The sequence below is a fragment of the Homo sapiens genome, chromosome 15 (assembly GCF_000001405.40).
Source record: "Homo sapiens chromosome 15, GRCh38.p14 Primary Assembly".
Taxonomy (NCBI): domain Eukaryota; kingdom Metazoa; phylum Chordata; class Mammalia; order Primates; family Hominidae; genus Homo; species Homo sapiens.
Window position 1 is genome coordinate 52,465,321 of NC_000015.10, and position 19,136 is coordinate 52,484,456.

The following is a 19,136-nucleotide window of genomic DNA, read 5'->3' on the forward strand; positions in this document are numbered from 1 at the left end:
TGTCCTTTTAGCTTAATTTTAGCCGAGAAAAGCAGCTATGAAAGTTGATCTAGGTTTTATAATTTTGAAAGAATGGTTGGTATAAAATATTTTTCAGAAAAATAAAAAACTTCTGGGTGCCAAAATACATCATAAACAAACCCAAAATACAGGGTGACCAAAAATATATTTGTAAAAAAGCAAAGTCCCTTAATGTATAAAGAACTTTTGCCTGTAGTCCCAGCTACTTGGGAGGCTAGGGCAGGAGGATTGCTTGAATTCAGGAATTCGAAAGTATAGTGCGCTATGATCATGCCACTGCACTCCAGCCTGAGCAACAGAGCAAGACCCTGTCTCTAGAAAATAAATAGAATAAATTTAAAAAGACTTTTAAAAAGAACTCTTACAAATCATTAAGAAAAAGATACATCTTGAGATTTTTTTCGCCCAAGATGGCTGACTAGAGGCTTTTCTAGCACACTTCATAAACTCAGAAGAACCAAAATAGTGTGTAGACAATCATACTTTGAACATATTATCCATGATAATATGTTTGACATGAAAAGCAATGAGTCCAACAGAAAAGCAAAAAGAAACTCCAAAATCTGAGAAGAAGGAAGGTAGGTAGCCCGTATGGCCAGGACCGGCCAAAAACCAGGAGTGAATCCCCAATATGGAAAAGGGTACATATCTCTCTGTGGTCCACTTTCCCACTAGGGAATCGAGCAATCCAGACCACAGGAAAGTACCTTGCCCCTTCTAAGCCCTAGATCTAACATGCGGAGCAGCCAGGAGACTGTGAGAAGGAACTGCTTGAGGAAGTATCCCAGGCATTCCTTCAGACTGGACACCTACAGCAGGACCCTATTCTCTTTCCTAGCTCTTACTTAGCAAGCTGCACCTCACACGCCTGGGAGCTAGCCACAGCAGCAGCAGTCTTTGGCAGTAGAGAGACTCAGGCTGGGGCTTGGGGAACTGAAACCTGTGGGAGGGGCTCCCACAGCCAGAACTGAGAAATGAGTGTGGTATGGGCTCCAGCTGCTGGTGCTGAAACTGGGCTCCCCCCAACCCCACCCATGGACCAGAGGAGGAGAAGTGCCAGAGAGGTGTAGTATTGAGCTGCACAGTGACTCCTATAGCCCAAGACTGCACTGCAGACGAGAAGCAAACTGTAGTGACTAAGTGAACAGCCAGACTGGCTAACATAGTTGAGATGGGGGCATGAACCTTGCCAAGACTGGGGTGTAAGAGGGAAGCAGGTCCCATGTCTGCCAGCCAAGGCTGTGAAGCTAGAACCACCCTCCCTTCCCAGGCTGAGACATCAGCATAACAGTGGTCAGCCCTAACCCAGGTATTTTACCAGAGGCCTAAATCAGGGTAGGTAGCCACTCCCATCAGGGTAGGTGGTCTGAGTGCAGGCCTAGCTAACTTAGCTCCATTCCAGCTTTGCCCCCCACTCCAAGATAGGGTGCAGGATCCAGGCCCCTGGGGGTTCCATGGCCCAATCCACCTTCTGGGACAGCCTGAAGAGCCCACTGCAACAATTAACACAAGAGCACAGCACTTGAGAAAGAGAAGAGCTTCTCACAACTACTGCCCCTATCACCCATGACATCACAGCTGCACAGGAGGTTGTGTGTCTGCTCACTGCCTGGTACGCCACTACAACCAGCATTCAAGAAAGCTACCGCATTAAGGCTATGTATATCCAAGGAAATCATACAAAGTCTTTGTCACTTCATGCAGACAAATGGCCCTACCCAATCAGCATCATAGTCACATCTTCAGATACACAGAAATCAACATATAGGAAGTATGAAAAAGCAAGGTATTATGGCGCCCTCAAAGGAACAAAATAATTATTTGGCAATAGATCCTAAGCAGAACAAAAATCCTTGAAATGTCGATAAATAATTCAAAGTATTGATTTTAAAGAAGCTCAATGAGATGCAAGAGAAATCTGCAAACTAATATAAAGAAAATCAGAAAATCAATTTAGGATGCACATGAGGAATTTACAGGAGACAGATTTCAAAAACAAACAGAAATTCTGGGTCTGAAAAATTATTGAAGGAATTACAAAATACATTTGAAATGCTTCAAAAATAGACTAGACTAAGCAGAAAAAAAGAATCTCAAAACTTGAAGACAAGTCTTTTGAAATAACATAATCAGACAAAAGTGAGGAAAAAAGAATGAATAAAGACATCAAGATATTAGGGTCTACATAAGGCAACCAAGCTTACGAATTATTGGTATTCTCAAGGAGGAAGAAAATGCAAAAAGTTCTGAAAACCTATTTAAGGAAATAATTGATGAAAATTTCCCAAGTCAAGAAAGAGATTTAGACATCCAGCTACAGGAGGCCCAGCAATCCCCAGGAAAATAAACTGCAAAAAAAACTTCACCACAGCATATTATCATCAGACTGTCTAAAGTCAAAGTGAAGGAAAAAAATTTTAAATCGGCAAGAGAAAAGCACACTTAGTTGCCTATAAAGGAAACCCCATCAGACTAATGGCACACTTCTCAGCAGAACTCTCACAGGCCAGAAGAGAATGGGATGGCATTTTCAAAGTGATGAAAGAAAAAAGAAAAACCTAGCAGCCAATAATTTTATGTCCAGCAAGATTAAGCTTCATAAAACAAAACCTCACATATCAGCGAATTAATAAGAAAAAGATAAACAACCTAGTAGCAAATAGGCAAAAGAAAAAAACAGGTAGCGAACAGAAGCACCATTTAAAAAGTTAAACAAAGAAAAGATGGACCAGGTGCAGTGGCTCATGTCTGTAATCCCAGCACTTTGAGAAGCTGAGGCATGAGGATTGCTTGAGCCTAGGAGTTGGAGACCAGCCTGGGCAATACAGTGAGACCTCATCTCTAGACAAAATTGTCCCAACTATTCGGGAGGATCACCCGAGCTGGGAAGGCAGAGGCTGCAGTGAGCCGAGGTCACACCACTGTACACCAGCCTGGGTGACAGAATGAGATCCTGTCTCAGAAAAATAAAAAATTAAAAAGATGTGCAGTCTCACTAATAATTAAGCAAATGCAAATTTAAAATACAGTATTAGGCCAGGTACAATGGCTAATATCTATAATCCCAGCATTTTGAGAGGCTGAGGTGGGAGTACTGCTTGAGCCCAGGAGTTCAAGCCCAGCTTGGGCAAGACGGTGAGACCCCGTCTCTACAAAAATGTAAAAAAAATTTTTTTTAATTAGCTGGGTGTGGTGGTGTGCACCTGTAGTTCCAGTTACTTGGGAGGCTGGGGTGGGAGAACCACTTGAGCCCAGGAGTTCAAGGCTGTAGTGATTTATGATCATGCCAGTGCACTCCAGCCTTGGTGACAGAGACAGACCCTGTCTCTATAAAACATAATAACAAAATATTTAAAAGTTGCAAATTAAATTTGAAAATATTTAAAGGATTGAAAATAACCTGTGTTAGGAAGAAAGTGGACAAACAGGTATTTTCATATATTGGTGATGGAATCAACAGGCACAACCTTTGAGAGAGCAATTTGGTAATTTCTTCAACAATGTGAAATACATATTTCAGGGATGCATACTGAAATAGGTGGTGAGGGAACCTTTAATTTTGTACTTTACATACTTCCATATTTCTCATTTTTTCATGAGTAAGTACTATTTTTACAATAAAACCAAAAGTTTTTAAAATATACATATCCTTGAATCAGAAAGTTCATATATAAAATTTTCCCACGGAGATACTAAAAAATACAAATAATTATTTCTAAAAATGTTCTGCAGCATTGTTTGTAAAAGTGAAAAATTGGAAATTACACAAAGGCTAATTCATATATGTATATTAGTGTAAAGGTTAACTATAATAATATACAGTTGACCCTTGAACAACATGTGGGTAAGCAGTGCCAATCCCCTGCACAGTTGGAAATTTGTGTGTAACTTTTGACTCCCCAAAAACTTTACTACTACTAATAGCCTCCTATTGACCAGAAGTTTTACTGATAACATAAACAGTTGATTAACACATATTCTGTATATGTATTAAAATACCATATTTTTACAATAAAGTAAGCTAGAGAAAAGAAACTTATTAAGAAAATCAAAAGGAAAAGAATATATTTACTATTTAGTAAGTGGAAGTGGAGAATCATAAAGGTGTTCACCTTGTCATCTTCATACTGAGTAGGCTGAGGAGGAGGAGGAAGAGGAGGGCTTGGTCTTGCTGCCTCAGGGATGACAGAGGCAGCAGAGATAGAGGAGACAGAAGGGGAGGCAGGAGAAACAGGCACACTTAGTGTAACTTTACAGAAATACGTCATAATTTCTGTCTTTTTTGCTTTTCCATTCTCTAAGAATGTTTCTATAAGGGTACCAATCCTTCTGCAACTGTTTGATTTTGTTTCAGTGCCCAAATCATAGGAGGGTTCATGTAAAAGAAGTCAAAAGCAGTCTTGAAAAATCAGAACTCTTCTGCTAGATTGTCTAATGTCAATTTGCTTCCTGACACTGCTACTTCTGTATCTTTTTTCTCACAGTCCGGCACTGGTTCAGATATACTCATCTCCATCAAGTTGGCTTCCGTTAATTGCTTTGGTGTAGTGTCTATTTGCTCTTGAATTTCTCCAAGATTCATAGCCCAAAACTCTTCACTCCCCACCCTTTTTGCCACATCCATAATCTCTTTCATGATTTCCTTGATTGGCACTGTTGTAAATCCTACGAAGGCATTCACAACATCTGGACGATTTTCTACAGCACCAATTTATTGTTTTGGGCTGCATGGCTTTCACAGCGTTTTCTATAACAATAATGGCACCTTCAATGGTGTAATCCTTCCAGACACTGATGACGTTCCCTCTGTTGGGGGTCTTCTTCCATAGCATTGACAATTCTTTCCACAGAGTACCATGTGTAATGAAGCTTAAAGGTTCTTATGACCCCCTGATCTAGAGGCTGAATTAGACGTGCTGTGTTTGGGGGCAAGTAGACCACTTTGATAGCTTTGGTGTTGAATTCATAGGGTTCTAGGTGGCCAGGGACATTGCCCAATATCAAAGGAACTTTAAAAGGCCATCCTTGGGCCAGGCGCAGTGGCTCACGCCTGTAAAACCAGCACGTTGGGAGGCCGAGGCAGGCAGATCACCTGAGGTGGGGAGTTCGAGAACACCCGGACCAACATGGAGAAACTCCGTCTCTACTAAAAACACAAAATTAGCCGGCGTGGTGGCGCATCTCTGTAATCCCAGCTACTCGGGAGGCTGAGGCAGGAGAATCCCTTGAACCTGGGAGGTGGAGGTTGTGGTGAGCCAAGATCGCACCATTGCACTCCAGCCTGGGCAATAAGAGTGAAACTCCATCCCCCCTCAAAAAAAGGCCATTCCTTACTGACAAGGTATTCCCTCACATCAGGGACAAGGCATCAATGGAACCAATTCAGAAAAAGGGTTCTTGGCCGGGCACAGTGGCTCACATCGGTAATCCCAGCACTTTGGGAGGCCAAGGAGGGCGGATCACTCGAGGTCAGGCATTCGAGACCAGGCTGGCCAACATGGTGAAACCCCATCTCTACTAAGAACACAAAAATTAGCCGGGCATGGTGACAGGCGCCTGTAGTCCCAGCTACTTGGGAGGCTGAGACAGGAGAACTGCTTGAACCCGGGAGGCAGAGGTTGCAGTGAGCCGAGATCACGCCACTGCATTCCAGCCTGGGCGACAGAGCAAGACTCCATCTCAAAAAAAAAAAAAAAAAGGAAAGGAAAAAGAGTTCTTGTTGTCCAGACCTTCTTGGGGTCCACTTAAAAGACTGGCAGCTAGTATTTATCTTTTCCCTTCAAGGCTCATGGATTAGCAGCTTTATAGATAAAGATAGTCCTGATTATAAACTTGACTGCATTTGCACAAAATAGTACAGTTATCTTGTCCCTTCCTGCCTTAAATCCTGGTACTCAATTCTCTTCCTTACTAGTAAATGTCTTTTGTGGCATTATTTTCCAGAATAGGGCACTTTTGTGTGCATTAAAAATCAGTTCGGGGCCAGGTGCAGTGGCTCACGCCTGTAATCCCAGCACTCTGAGAGACCAAGGTGGGAGGATCGCTTGAGCCCAGGAGTTTGAGACCAGCCTCGGCAACATAGTGAGACTCTGTCTCATTTGAAAAAAGAAAAAGAAAAAGGAAATCTGTTTAGCCAGGCATGGTAGTGTGCACCTGTAGTCCCAGCTACTTGGGACACTGAGGTAGGAGGATCGTTTGAGCCCAGCAACTTGAGGCCAGCCTGGGCAACACAGCCAGATTCTGTCTCTAAAACACACACACACACACACACACACACACCCCAAACAAAAAAACAAAAACAAAAAAAGCAACTTCTTTCAGGCAGATATCCTTTCTCCTCAATGATTTTATTTTTGGGGAGAGCTGGGGTGGGGTGGACAGGGTCTCATTCTGTTGCCCCAGGCTGACATGCAGTGGTGCATTCATGGCTCACTGCAGCCTCAACCTCCCAGACTCAAGTGATCATCCCTTCTCAGCCTCCTGAGTAGATAGAACTACAAGTACACACCACCATGCGTGGCGAATTTTTTAATTTGTTGTAGAGTCAGTGTCTCCCTATGTTGCCCAGGCTGGTCTCAAACTCCCAGGCTCAAGGAATCCTCCTGCCTCGGCCTCTTAAAGTGCTAGGATTACAGGCATGAGCCACTGTTTCTGGTCCTCAGTGATTTTCTTAATGGCATCTGGCAACTCCTCTGCTGCCTCTTGGTCGGCAGAAGCGTCTTCTCCTGTTATCCTGACATTTTTTTTTTTTTTTGAGATGGAGTCTCGCTCTTGTTGCCCAGGCTGGAGTGCAGTGGCAGGATCTCGGCTCACTGCAAGCTCCGCCTCCCAGGTTCACACCATTCTTCTGCCTCAGCCGCCCAAGTAGCTGGGACTACAGGGACCAGCCACCACGCCCGGCTAATTTTTTTGTACTTTTAGTAGAGACAGGGTTTCACCGTGTTAGCCAGGATGGTCTCGATCGCCTGACCTCGTGATCGGCCCACCTCGGTCTCCTAAAGTGCTGGGATTACAGGCTTGAGCCATCGCGACTGGCCCTATCCAGACATTTTTTTCATTTTTTTTTATTATACTTTAAGTTCTAGGGTACATGTGCACAACGTGCAGGTTTGTTACATATGTATACATGTGCCATGTTGGTGTGCTGCACCCATTAACTTGTCATTTACATTAGGTATATCTCCTAATGCTATCCCTCCCCCATCCCCCCACCGCACAACAGGCCCCGGTGTGATGTACCCCATCCTGTGTCCCTGTGTTCTCATTGTTCAGTTCCCACCTATGAGTGAGAACATGCAGTGTTTGGTTTTCTGTCCTTGCGATAGTTTGCTCAGAATGATGGTTTCCAGCTTCACTGATGACCTTACGAAGGACATGAACTCATCCTTTTTTATGGCTACGTAGTATTCCATGGTATACATGTGCCACATTTTCTTAATCCAGTCTATCATTGTTGGACATTTGGGTTGGTTCCAAGTCTTTGCTATTGTGAATAGTACCTCAATAAACATACGTGTACATGTGTCTTTATAGCAGCATGACTTATAATCCTTTGGGTATATACCCAGTAATGGGATGGCTGGGTCAAATGGTATTTCTAGTTCTAGATCCTTGAGGAATTGCCACACTGTCTTCCACAATGGTTGAACTAGTTTATAGTCCCACCAGCAGTGTAAAAGTGTTCCTATTTCTCCACATTCTCTCCGGCACCTGTTGTTTCCTGACTTTTTAATGATCGCCATTCTAACTGGTGTGAGATGGTATCTCATTGTGGTTTTGATTTGCATTTCTCTGATGGTCAGTGATGATGAGCATTTTTTCATGTGTCTGTTGGCTGCATAAATGTCTTCTTTTTGAGAAGTGTCTGTTCATATCCTTCGCCCAGTTTTTGATGGGGCTGTTTGATTTTTTCTTGTAAATTTGTTTAAGTTCTTTGTAGATTCTGGATATTGGCCCTTTGTCAGATGGACAGGTTGCAAAAATTTTCTCCCATTCTGTAGGTTGCCTGTTCACTCTGATAGTAGTTTCTTTTGCTGTGCAGAAGCTCTTTAGTTTAATTAGATCCCATTTGTCAATTTTGGCTTTTGTTGCCATTGCTTTTGGTGTTTTAGACGTGAAGTCCTTGCCCATGCCTATGTCCTGAATGGTATTGCCTAGGTTTTCTTCCAGGGTTTTTATGGTTTTAGGTCTTACATTTAAGTCTTTAATCCATCGTGAATTAATTTTCGTATAAGGTGTAAGGAAGGGATCCAGTTTCAGCTTTCTACATATGGCTACCCAGTTTTCCCAGCACCATTAATTAAACAAGGAATCCTTTCCCCATTTCTTGTTTTTGTCAGGTTTGTCAAAGATCAGATAGTTGTAGATGTGTATTATTTCTGAGGGCTCTATTCTGTTCCATTGGTCTATATCTCTGTTTTGGTACCAGTACCATGCTGTTTTGGTTACTGTAGCCTTGTAGTATAGTTTGAAGTCAGGTAGTGTGATGCCTCCAGCTTTGTTCTTTTGGCGTAGGATTGTCTTGGCAATGTGGGCTCTTCTGTGGTTCCATATGAACTTTAAAGTAGTTTTTTCCAATTCTGTGAAGAAAGTCATTGGTAGCTTGATGGGGATGGCATTGAATCTATAAATTACCTTGGGCAGTATGGCCATTTTCACGATATTGATTCTTCCTATCCATGAGCATGGAATGTTCTTCCATGTTTGTGTCCTCTTCTATTTCATTGAGCAGTGGTTTGTAGTTCTCCTTGAAGAGGTCCTTCATGTCCCTTGTAAGTTGGATTCCTAGGTATTTTATTCTCTTTGAAGCAATTGTGAATGGGAGTTCACTCATGATTTGGCTCTCTGTTTGTCTGTTATTGATGTGTAAGAATGCTTGTGATTTTTGCACACGGATTTTGTATCCTGAGACTGCTGAAGTTGCTTATCAGCTTAAGGAGATTTGGGGCTGAGACAATGGGGTTTTCTAAATATACAATCATGTCATCTGCAAACAGGGACAATTTGACTTCCTCTTTTCCTAATTGAATACCCTTTCTTTCTTTCTCCTGCCTAATTGCCCTGGCCAGAACTTCCAACACTATGTTGAATAGGAGTGGTGAGAGAGGGCATCCCTGTCTTGTGCCAGTTTTCAAAGGGAATGCTTCCAGTTTTTGCCCATTCAGTATGATATTGGCTGTGGGACTGTCATAAATAGCTCTTATTATTTTGAGATACATCCCATCAATACCTAATTTATTGAGGGTTTTTAGCATGAAGGGCTGTTGAATTTTGTCAAAGGCCTTTTCTGCATCTATTGAGATAATCATGTGGTTTTCGTCTTTGGTTCTGTTTTTATGATGGATTACATTTATTGATTTGAGTATGTTGAACCAGCCTTGCATCCCAGGGATGAGGTCCGCTTGATCATGGTGGATAAGCTTTTTGATGTGCTGCTGGATTCAGTTTGCCAGTATTTTATTGAGGATTTTTGCATCGATGTTCATCAGGGATATTGGCCTAAAATTCTTTTTTTGTTGTGTCTCTGCCAGGCTTTGGTATCAGGATGATGCTGGCCTCATAAAATGAGTTAGGGAGGATTCCCTCTTTTTCTATTGATTGGAATAGTTTCAGAAGGAATGGTACCAGCTCCTCTTTGTACCTCTGGTAGAACTCGGCTGTGAATCCGTCTGGTCCTGGACTTTTTTTGGTTGGTAGGCTATTAATTATTGCCTCAATTTCAGAGCCTGTTATTGGTCTATTCAGGGATTCAGCTTCTTCCTGGTTTAGTCTTGGGAGGGTGTATGTGTCCAGGAATTTATCCATTTCTTCTAGATTTTCTAGTTTACTTGTGTAGAGGTGTTTACAGTATTCTCTGATGGTAGTTTGTATCTCTGTGAGATCAGTGGTGATATCCCCTTTATCATTTTTTATTGCATCTATTTGATTCTTCTCTCTTTTCTTCTTTAGTAGTCTTGCTAGCAGTCTATCAATTTTGTTGACCTTTTCAAAAAACCAGGTCCTGGATTCATTGATTTTTTGAAGGGTTTTTTGTGTCTCTATCTCCTTCAGTTCTGCTCTGAACTTAGTTATTTCTTGCCTTCTGCTAGCTTTTGAATGTGTTTGCTCTTGTTTCTCTAGTTCTTTTAATTGTGATGTTAGGGTGTCAATTTTAGATCTTTCCTGGTTTCTCTTGTGGGCATTTAGTGCTATAAATTTCCCTCTACACACTGCTTTGAATGTGTCCCAGAGATTCTGGTATGTTGTGTCTTTGTTCTCATTGGTTTCAAAGAACATCTTTATTTCTGCATTCATTTTGTTATGTACTCAGTAGTCATTCAGGAGCAGGTTGTTCAGTTTCCATGTAGTTGTGTGGTTTTGAGTGAGTTTCTTAATCCTGAGTTCTAGTTTGATTGCACTGTGGTCTGAGAGGCAGTTTGTTATAATTTCTATTCTTTTACATTTGCTGAGGAGTGCTTTACTTCCAACTATGTGGTCAATTTTGGAATAAGTGCAATGTGGTGCTGAGAAGAATGTATATTCTGTTGATTTGGGGTGGAGAGTTCTGTAGATGTCTATTAGGTACACTTGGTGCAGAGCTGAGTTCAAGTCCTGGATATATCCTTATTAACTTTCTGTCTTGTGGATCTGTCTAATATTGACAGTGGGGTGTTAAAGTCTCTCAGTATTATTGTGTGGGAGTCTAAGTCTCTTTGTAGGTCTCTAAGGACTTGCTTTTTGAATCTGGGTGCTCCTGTATTGGGTGCATATATATTTAGGATAGTTAGCTCTTCTCGTTGAATTCAGCCCTTTATCATTATGTAATGGCCTTCTTTGTCTCTTCTGATCTTTGTTGGTTTAAAGTCTGTCTTATCAGAGACTAGGATTGCAACCCCTGCCTTTTTTTTTGTTTTCCATTTGCTTGGTAGATCTTCCTCCATCCCTTTATTTTGAGCCTATGTGTGTCTCTGCACGTGAGATGGGTCTCCTGAATACAGCACACTGATGGGTCTTGACTCTTTATCAAATTTGCCAGTCTGTGTCTTTTAATTGGAGCATTTAGCCCATTTACATTTAAGGTTAATATTCTTATGGGTGAATTTGATCCTGTCATTATGATGTTAGCTGGTTATTTTGCTCGTTAGTTGATGCAGTTTCTTCCTAGCATCGATGGTCTTTACAATTTGGCATGTTTTTGCAGTGGCTGGTACTGGTTGTTCCTTTCCATGTTTAATGCTTCCTTCAGGAGCTCTTGTAAGGCAGGCCTGGTGGTGACAAAATCTCTCAGCATTTGCTTGTCTGTAAAGGATTTTATTTCTCCTTCACTTATGAAGCTTAGTTTGGCTGGATATGAAATTCTAGCTTGAAAATTCTTTTCTTTAAGATTGTTGAATATTGGTCCCCACTCTCTTCTGGCTTGTAGAGTTTCTGCCGAGAGATCTGCAGTTAGTCTGATGGGCTTCCCTTTGTGGGTAACCGGACCTTTCTCTCTGGCTGCCCTTAACATTTTTTCCTTCATTTCAACTTTGGTGAATCTGACAATTATGTGTCTTGGGGTTGTTCTTCTCAAGGAGTATCTTTGTGGTGTTCTCTGTATTTCCTGAATTTGAATGTTGGCCTGCCTTGCTAGGTTGGGGAAGTTCTCCTGGATAATAACCTGAAGAGTGTTTTCCAACTTGGTTCCATTTTCCCCGTCACTTTCAGGTACGCCAATCAGATGTAGATTTGGTCTTTTCACATAGTCCCATATTTCTTGGAGGCTTTGTCATTTCTTTTTACTCTTTTTTCTCTAAACTTCTCTTCTTGCTTCATTTCATTCATTTGATCTTCAATCACTCATATCCTTTCTTCCAGTTGATCAAATTGGCTACTGAAGCTTGTGCATGCGTCACGTAGTTCTTGTGCCATGGTTTTCAGCTCCATCAGGTAATTTAAGGTCTTCTCTACGCTGTTTACTCTAGTTAGCCATTCGTCCAATCTTTTTTTAAGGTTCTTGGCTTCTTTGCGATGGGTTTGAACATCCTCCTTTAGCTTGGAGAAGTTTGTTATTACTGATCTTCCGAAGCCTTCTTCTCTCAACTCGTCAAAGTCATTCTCCGTCCACCTTTGTTCCATTGCTGGCAAGGAGCTGCGTTCCTTTGTGTTCCTTTGGAGGAGAAGAGGCGCTCTGATTTTTTGAATTTTCAGCTTTTCTGCTCTGATTTCTCCCCATCTTTGTGGTTTTATCTACCTTTGGTCTTTAGTGATGGTGACGTACAGATGGGATTTTGGTGTGGATGTCCTTTCTGTTTGTTAGTTTTCCTTCTAACAGTCAGGACCCTCAGCTGCAGGTCTGTTGGAAGTTTGCTGGAGGTCCACTCCAGACCCTGTTTGCCTGGGTATCACCAGTGGAGGCTGCAGAACTGCAAATATTCCAGAACGGCTAATGTTGCTGCCTGATCATTCCTCTGGAAGCTTCGTCTCAGAGGTGCACCCGGCCGTATGAGGTGTGAGTCAGCCCCAACTGTGAGGTGCCTCCCAGTTAGGCTACTCAGGGGTCAGGGACCCACTTGAGGAGGCAGTCTGTCTGTTCTCAGATCTCAAACTCCATGCTGGGAGAACCACTACTCTCTTGAAAGCTGTCACACAGGGACGTTTAAGTCTGCAGAAGTTTCTGCTGCCTTTTGTTCAGCTATGCCCTGCCCCCAGAGGTGGAGTCTACAGTGGCAGGCAGGCCTCCTTGAGCTGCGGTGGGCTCCACCCAGTTCGAGCTTCCCAGCTGCTTTGTTTACCTACTCAAGCCTCCGCAATGGCGGGCACCCCTCCCCCAGCCTCGCTGCCACCTTGCAGTTCAATCTCAGACTGCTGTGCTAGCAGTGAGCAAGGCTCTATGGGTGTGGGACCCTCCGAGCCAGGCGCGGGATATAATCTCGTGGTGTGCAGTTTGCTAAGAACGTTGGAAAAGTGCAGTATTAGGGTGGGAGTGACCCAATTTTCCAGGTGCCATCTCTCACAGCTTCCCTTGGCTAGGAAAGGGAATTCCCCGACCCCTTGTGCTTCCTGGGTGAGGCGATGCCTCACCCTGCTTCAGCTCATGCTCCGTGGGCTGTACCCACTGTCCTGCACCCACTGTCCGACAAGCCCCAGTGAGATGAACCCGGTACCTCAGTTGGAAATGCAGAAATCACTCGTCTTCTGCGTCGCTCATGCTGGGAGCTATAGGCTGGAGCTGTTCCTATTCAGCCATTTTGGAACCTTCCCCTCTCCAGACATTTTTAAAAGAGTGAACCTCTTTCTAAAATTATCAAACTATCCTTTGCTGGCATTAAGTTCTTCAGCTTAAGATCCTTCATCTGCCTTTTGCCTTAAGTTGTCAGGTTTACTGTATTGCACTAAACACAATGAAAAATACGTGAGAAGCGTGAGATCACTTTTTGCTGTGATATGCAATGTACTGGAGAGACAAACTGTTCACACGGGGATGGTTAGTGTCACACATTTTAAGGGAATACTCACAACCTTTTTAGCTCACTCAAGCAACAGCAACACAACATGGCTACAGAATTACTACAGTAAAACTGTAGTACTATGTGTACTGCAGTTAATTTTGTGTGGTTATGTCTTTATATTTGTTTACATTTCTCTCAACTGTGAACAGTGCCATGTGCAGTCTATGTCTGTGTAAGTTTTTATAAATTTTAACTTTTTTTTTTTTAAGATGGAGTCTCGCTCTGTCACCCAGGCTGGAGTGCAGTGGCGTGATCTCAGCTCACTGTAACCTCTGCCCCCTGGGTTCAAGCAATTCTCCTGCCTCAGCCTCCTGAGTAGCTGGAATTACCTGGCTAATTTTTGTACTTTTAGTAGAGATAGAGTTTTACCATCTTAGCCAGGCTGGTCTCGAATGCCTGACCTCCAGTGACCTGCCCTCCTCAGCCTCCCAAAGTGCTGGTATTACAGGAGTGAGCCACTGCGCCCAGCCAATTTTAACTTTTTATAATAGATTTATGTGTATTTTATGGTAGTAAATGATAAAATAGACTAGTATTTACGTATACTTTATGTATTCATGACATAACTTTTTCTTATTTTTTTCGATATTTCTAGGCTACATAGTTCATCTGAGAATTTTTTCAAATTGTTGCAAATCTCAAAAAATTTTCCAATATATTTATTTTTAAAAATCCATGTGTAAGTGGACCCATGCAGTTCAAATCCAGGTTGTTCACAGGTCAACTGCATAGTTTAGAGGTTGTGGTATATCTATATAATGGAATACTTAAAAAAAAGTTAGGTCTGTATGTGCTGACATGGAAAGATACTGTTAATTGAGAAAGAGCAAGCTGTAAAACATCATCATTGTATGATCCTATTTTTGTTTAATATATATTCATAAACTATATTCATATATCCATATAATACAGTAGCTTGGAATTCACAGATTATCATTTGTGGTTTCCACTCTTTGTGAACCATACTGAAAGTCCATGGCATCTGAACATTTATCATTCTGCCCAATCATGAAAGAGCCACACCTCTCTTAGACCTCTCTGAGTAAAGGAGAAAAGAGCTGGACAGTGAGTCTGGCCTTGCTCTGGGCTCCAGCTCAGCATGCCTTTGCTCTTCTCCACCAGTTTGTGTGTGTATTCCTGAAGAGATATGAACTGAAGCCACCTATCTGCACCTGTGATGGAAGTAAAGATTATGTAAAGAGGTCTCTGAACGTGACTGATCTAAGCAATGCTGTCTCCTCTCTCCCAAACCCTACATCCCCACCTAGCATCACATCGTATACCTTGAATATATACAATTTTTGTCAATTATACCTCAATAAAACTAAAAAGAAATCAGTTCCCTTAATTTTCTACAACATGTCTACTTGATTTTTCATATGTGAAGGAAGAAATAAGAACTAAATACTAATTGCGATAGAAACTTGACTGGCAAACATCTACAAAGTCTCTAGCTAAAACGCAAAGAAACTTAACTACACCATCTACAATTTGATCTATTTACAGTCAGCTTTTAACTCATCCAGGAAACACCTGCAGAATTTAGGAAAACCCGTAACTATTTCAAATCTTACAATTGTTTAGCGAATGTAAAATCTCAGAATCAGAAGAGGGCTTAAAGATGATCTGGTCCAAACACCCCATTTCCAAGAAAACTAGAGCTCCAAGAACAAAGCTGGCTCAGACCAGAGCCCACACCAGACCAAGGATGTCCTGATCCCCGATCCTTGAGGCCCTCTCTGGCTCCCCTCTCCCTTCAGAAGCAAACATAATGGATCTGAAAAAAGTTGCACAGCTGCACAAATGGCAAGAGGAAAGCAAAATCAGGACTCAACTAAAATTCCATTTCATTGTAACACAACTTGGTTTCCCACATTCTCTTTTCCTTGGCAGTGCTAGTTATCATTGGAGAGTGTGGTATAAGGAGGAGTCGCATGAGAAAATTCTTCCTTAGCATTATCTCCCCTAGCTTCAGTCCTTAGCCATGCCTCCAGCACAGTCAAAATCTACAGTGCTACAAAGTGCCAAACCATAGCTTCCTTACATATAGCTAAATCCATTTACCCAAATGCAGTCATTCATTTAACAAGTACTTACTGAGTACCAACAGGCACAGGTCTAGTCCTGGGATACAGCATTGCACTTGCAGCTGGATTCATGGTTGGGTTCCCTTATGCCTACCCATCTAAGATACCAGATTCTTTGCTAGAGCCATGGCATTTGGTAGTGCACTGGACCACACTATATGTAGGTATTATGAGTCTTCATAATCATGTCTACTGCCTGACTTTGGAGGTTAGAACTAGCATTATTAGGTGCAAGCACATTTATCTGCATTGCCAAAATCCCAGTCAGCACCGGTGCAGTAAAAAACAGATGGTGTGCCTGTAACTCATGATTGACACATTGCTGCAACAGATGCTAGGTATGTCCTTGCTGAAGATCTAAGCAAATGGTCTCTAGGAATGAAAAACAGATTTTAATGCAAACAAAGATTGCCTAGAGATTCTATAAGATTTTCTATTTTACTTTATACCCTAACTAATTCTGTTTGGTTCCACAAGTATTTAGTATGTGTATATTCTATTTCATACACTGTTCTAAGAATTGCAGAAACAAAAATGGGTAAGATGTTTTCCCTTCCCTCAAAGTTCTGCTGATGAGATGGACACACACAGACACTGTCAATATGACACACAAAGTTCTGTGATGGAGGAATGTACAAGGTGCCATGGGAGCCCAGTGGAGTTTGCAAACCTCACCCAACTTGTGCAAAGAAAAATAGAGTACATGGTAACTTCCTAAAGGAGGGGGACATGGATTTGGGCTAGAAGGACAAATAGGAGTTAACCAAGCAAATGAACAAATTCATGTTCCAGACATGAATGAAGACATAAAGATGTGGAACAGGATAAAATACACATGAGGAATAACAAGTAGTTTAGAATCACTGTAGCAAGAAATGAGAGGCCAGAGAGATTCCCAGGGCTCAGATCATAAAAGGACTGGAACATAGTAGTACTCAGTAAATACTTGATGAAAGAATTGGCTAGAGCTTTCATGAAGGAAAAGGTATAAGTATGTGGTTATGCATGTTGGACAAATTTTGTATGTCCATTTTGTTAGTAGAAACAGGATATAATCAGTATTATTCTACATCAGTAGAATTATAAGAACATGATTCAGTCAGCAAGAACTTGGCTCACTCAGCATGATAACTGGAGACTCAGGCATAATAAAGAGGAAGTGGCTAGGCAGTTTTTATATTCTTGTGACCACAAGAGAGAGAAGAGCTAGAGTGGTATCTGCACAGACACAGGCAAAGATCATACGGAGAAAGATGAAAGAGGCATGCACGGGGTCTGTGAGCTTGAGAACTTCCTGGATATAGCAACCATCTCTTTTCTCCTATAGGCCATCTCTTTTTTTCGTTTAACATAAATAAACCAAGTATCTGTGACTCTACCTGACCTTCTTCATGGCATCATGTGGAAGAAACCCTGATCCAGAAGGGAATAGAACTCATATTCCTGGTAGTTGTTTTTTGTGAGTGGGCTTGGGCCCTTTGCTGCTGCTGAAGAGGGAAGAGGATAGCCAGAGCTGGGAAAAAGAGGAGTCAACATGATCCATACTCTAACAACTCCATGTTGAACATATTGAAACACACAGGAATCCTGGGCCAGAGTAGATTTCCAATAATTTTACAAAAACAGAAGCAATACAGACACCATAAGTACTGGCTATAAATTCTAAAAACTTTCATCACACATCAAAAACAACTCAACAAGGTGAAATTTATTCCATTTGATATCCCTAACATTAATTTCCTGTTCATAATTTTTTTTTTTAATAAAAGGTAAGACTGTGGAGGAGGGCAATCTGCTTAATTTTGCTGTGAACCTAAAATGGCTTTAAAAAAATTTTTTTAAGTGAATCCGGTCCATTAGTAGAGGAGTTGCGGCAGCTCAAGGCAAGGAGCCTGAGGCCCAGATTCCTAATTTCTTGGCCCTAAATAGTGACTCTATCCCCTGATGCCCCTGGACTACCAACCTGCCCGTGGCTCTTCCAGGTTTCTAAGGTCTCCTGTGATTAGGCTTCTATCATTGCAATGGACTGATACTCAAGCTCACTCAGGTGAAGGATGAGCAGGGCACACATATGAATACAGAGGAAACAACAGGATAAGGAACCAGAGAAGAGCTAAGTCACATAGAGGAAAAAACCGAAGCAAAGTGTTGGTTCCAAGGCAGGCCCTGGAAGCCCATGAGTAGGAATTGGTGGCTTTTCTGGTACACCACTGCTAATGGGGTCAGAACTGTCAATGTGTCTACACCACTCCTCTGGTTTATCTTTTCCATACTTGTTACAGAAATCCCCAAAACAGGACACCTAAATGGCTCACTTAAACATTGCTACTTCTGTTTAGACTGCCCTTTTGAGACCAGGCCACATCAAAAGGCCCTTACGAGTGAGCCATTTTCAGGTCAGGGCCTCCCCTTGTCCAATCAGCTTGGCTGGATCATTTGGTTTCTTAGCAGGGGCCCCAGGTCAACAGGGAGAGTGAGGGGTACAGTTACCCTTTGAAGGGACCGTGAGTATGGCAAGCACTGTGAATTAATTTATGATACACTGATGGTAGCAATGCCTTAGAAATTTCAGGAGTAGGGAAGAGAAAAAGTGACATCTGGGAGGCAGTAGAGACTCAGCAATATATTTAAAAACAACAACAACAACAAAAAACTATGGGTGCAAGGACACGCCTAGAAATTTCTAAAAAACCCATTCTCAGCACTCAGTTTTCCTTCCCCATCCATTCCAATCCATAATTTGGAAAAACATGTCCCACTCCCCAACATTCTATGGATTAAGGTATTTTAATTGAGCAAATGTTATGTTAAAAGATATCCTGGCAAGAATGCGAAGGTCCATCCCCAGACTAGATGAACTTCTTCCTTAGCTTATGGCTATGTCCACACCCTTATGACAGCCCTAATTGTGGTTCCTGAACTTCTATTATTATAACACAACGATTTAGAAAAACAGTCTGCTCTATACAGCTAATGTCACACTGTGGAAATGAATCATTCTGACCAAAAGCCTTGCTTCTGGCAGTGCCAATCCCTTCCTAAAGCAACTGCAAGCCGTCCACCTCCCAGTCAGGAAGCATCTGGTAGCTGGGGCTCTAGAAGTATCCCTGGGAAGTCAGTCAGAACTAGAGAGACCACTAACATTTGTTAGGGGGCACTGGAATTGTTGAGCTCTGACACATGATCAAGTAGGCCAGGAAAAGTAACTAATCTTAGGATCCTCATGTTAAGAAAGATTAAAGTGATTAGATCAATCACTAAATGACTATAAGAGCAGAACCAAAAGTATTCTATGATAATTGTAGCAAGTTGAACGTATTACAGGTATGCATTACATTTTCCTGAAAATATATGTGAATTAGAATGCAAGGAACTAGAACACAAGAAGCCCTGGCTAGTTAGGTAGCTATGGTAGAAAATACACATACACACACCCTTCCTTTTTGTTTTTAGAAAATAAGAATGTGGATCTGTTCCAGTAGCCAGGGAGGATAGAGTAGATATTAAAGACAAAAGTATTTTGCCCTCCTAATCCTTTTTATTACCAGAAAAAGGACAGAAG

General features: G+C 41.9%; 1 protein-coding gene across 10 annotated transcripts in view, besides 6 other annotated features; it reads right to left on the minus strand.

The window, feature by feature from the left end:
* MYO5A (myosin VA) overlaps positions 1–19,136 on the minus strand; it is a 221,768-nt gene that overhangs the window by 158,038 nt on the left and 44,594 nt on the right.
* Positions 443–1,198: an enhancer, noted in NCBI's record as "H3K27ac-H3K4me1 hESC enhancer chr15:52757960-52758715 (GRCh37/hg19 assembly coordinates)". NCBI's record gives its function as "activates a minimal SCP1, AML or CMV promoter by ChIP-STARR-seq in primed H9 embryonic stem cells {active_cell/tissue: H9 hESC(primed)}" and the evidence as "EXISTENCE:reporter gene assay evidence [ECO:0000049][PMID:30033119]".
* Positions 843–1,132: an enhancer, noted in NCBI's record as "active region_9430". NCBI's record gives its function as "activates an Ori minimal core promoter by ATAC-STARR-seq in GM12878 lymphoblastoid cells {active_cell/tissue: GM12878}" and the evidence as "EXISTENCE:reporter gene assay evidence [ECO:0000049][PMID:35858748]".
* Positions 12,302–12,803: an enhancer, noted in NCBI's record as "NANOG-H3K4me1 hESC enhancer chr15:52769819-52770320 (GRCh37/hg19 assembly coordinates)". NCBI's record gives its function as "activates a minimal SCP1, AML or CMV promoter by ChIP-STARR-seq in primed H9 embryonic stem cells {active_cell/tissue: H9 hESC(primed)}" and the evidence as "EXISTENCE:reporter gene assay evidence [ECO:0000049][PMID:30033119]".
* Positions 12,804–13,303: an enhancer, noted in NCBI's record as "NANOG-H3K4me1 hESC enhancer chr15:52770321-52770820 (GRCh37/hg19 assembly coordinates)". NCBI's record gives its function as "activates a minimal SCP1, AML or CMV promoter by ChIP-STARR-seq in primed H9 embryonic stem cells {active_cell/tissue: H9 hESC(primed)}" and the evidence as "EXISTENCE:reporter gene assay evidence [ECO:0000049][PMID:30033119]".
* Positions 16,113–17,381: a silencer, noted in NCBI's record as "S8 fragment used in the reporter construct". NCBI's record gives its function as "represses activity of a beta-globin enhancer-driven SV40 promoter in transfected K562 erythroleukemia cells {active_cell/tissue: K562}" and the evidence as "EXISTENCE:reporter gene assay evidence [ECO:0000049][PMID:30886051]".
* Positions 16,520–16,669: an enhancer, noted in NCBI's record as "active region_9431". NCBI's record gives its function as "activates an Ori minimal core promoter by ATAC-STARR-seq in GM12878 lymphoblastoid cells {active_cell/tissue: GM12878}" and the evidence as "EXISTENCE:reporter gene assay evidence [ECO:0000049][PMID:35858748]".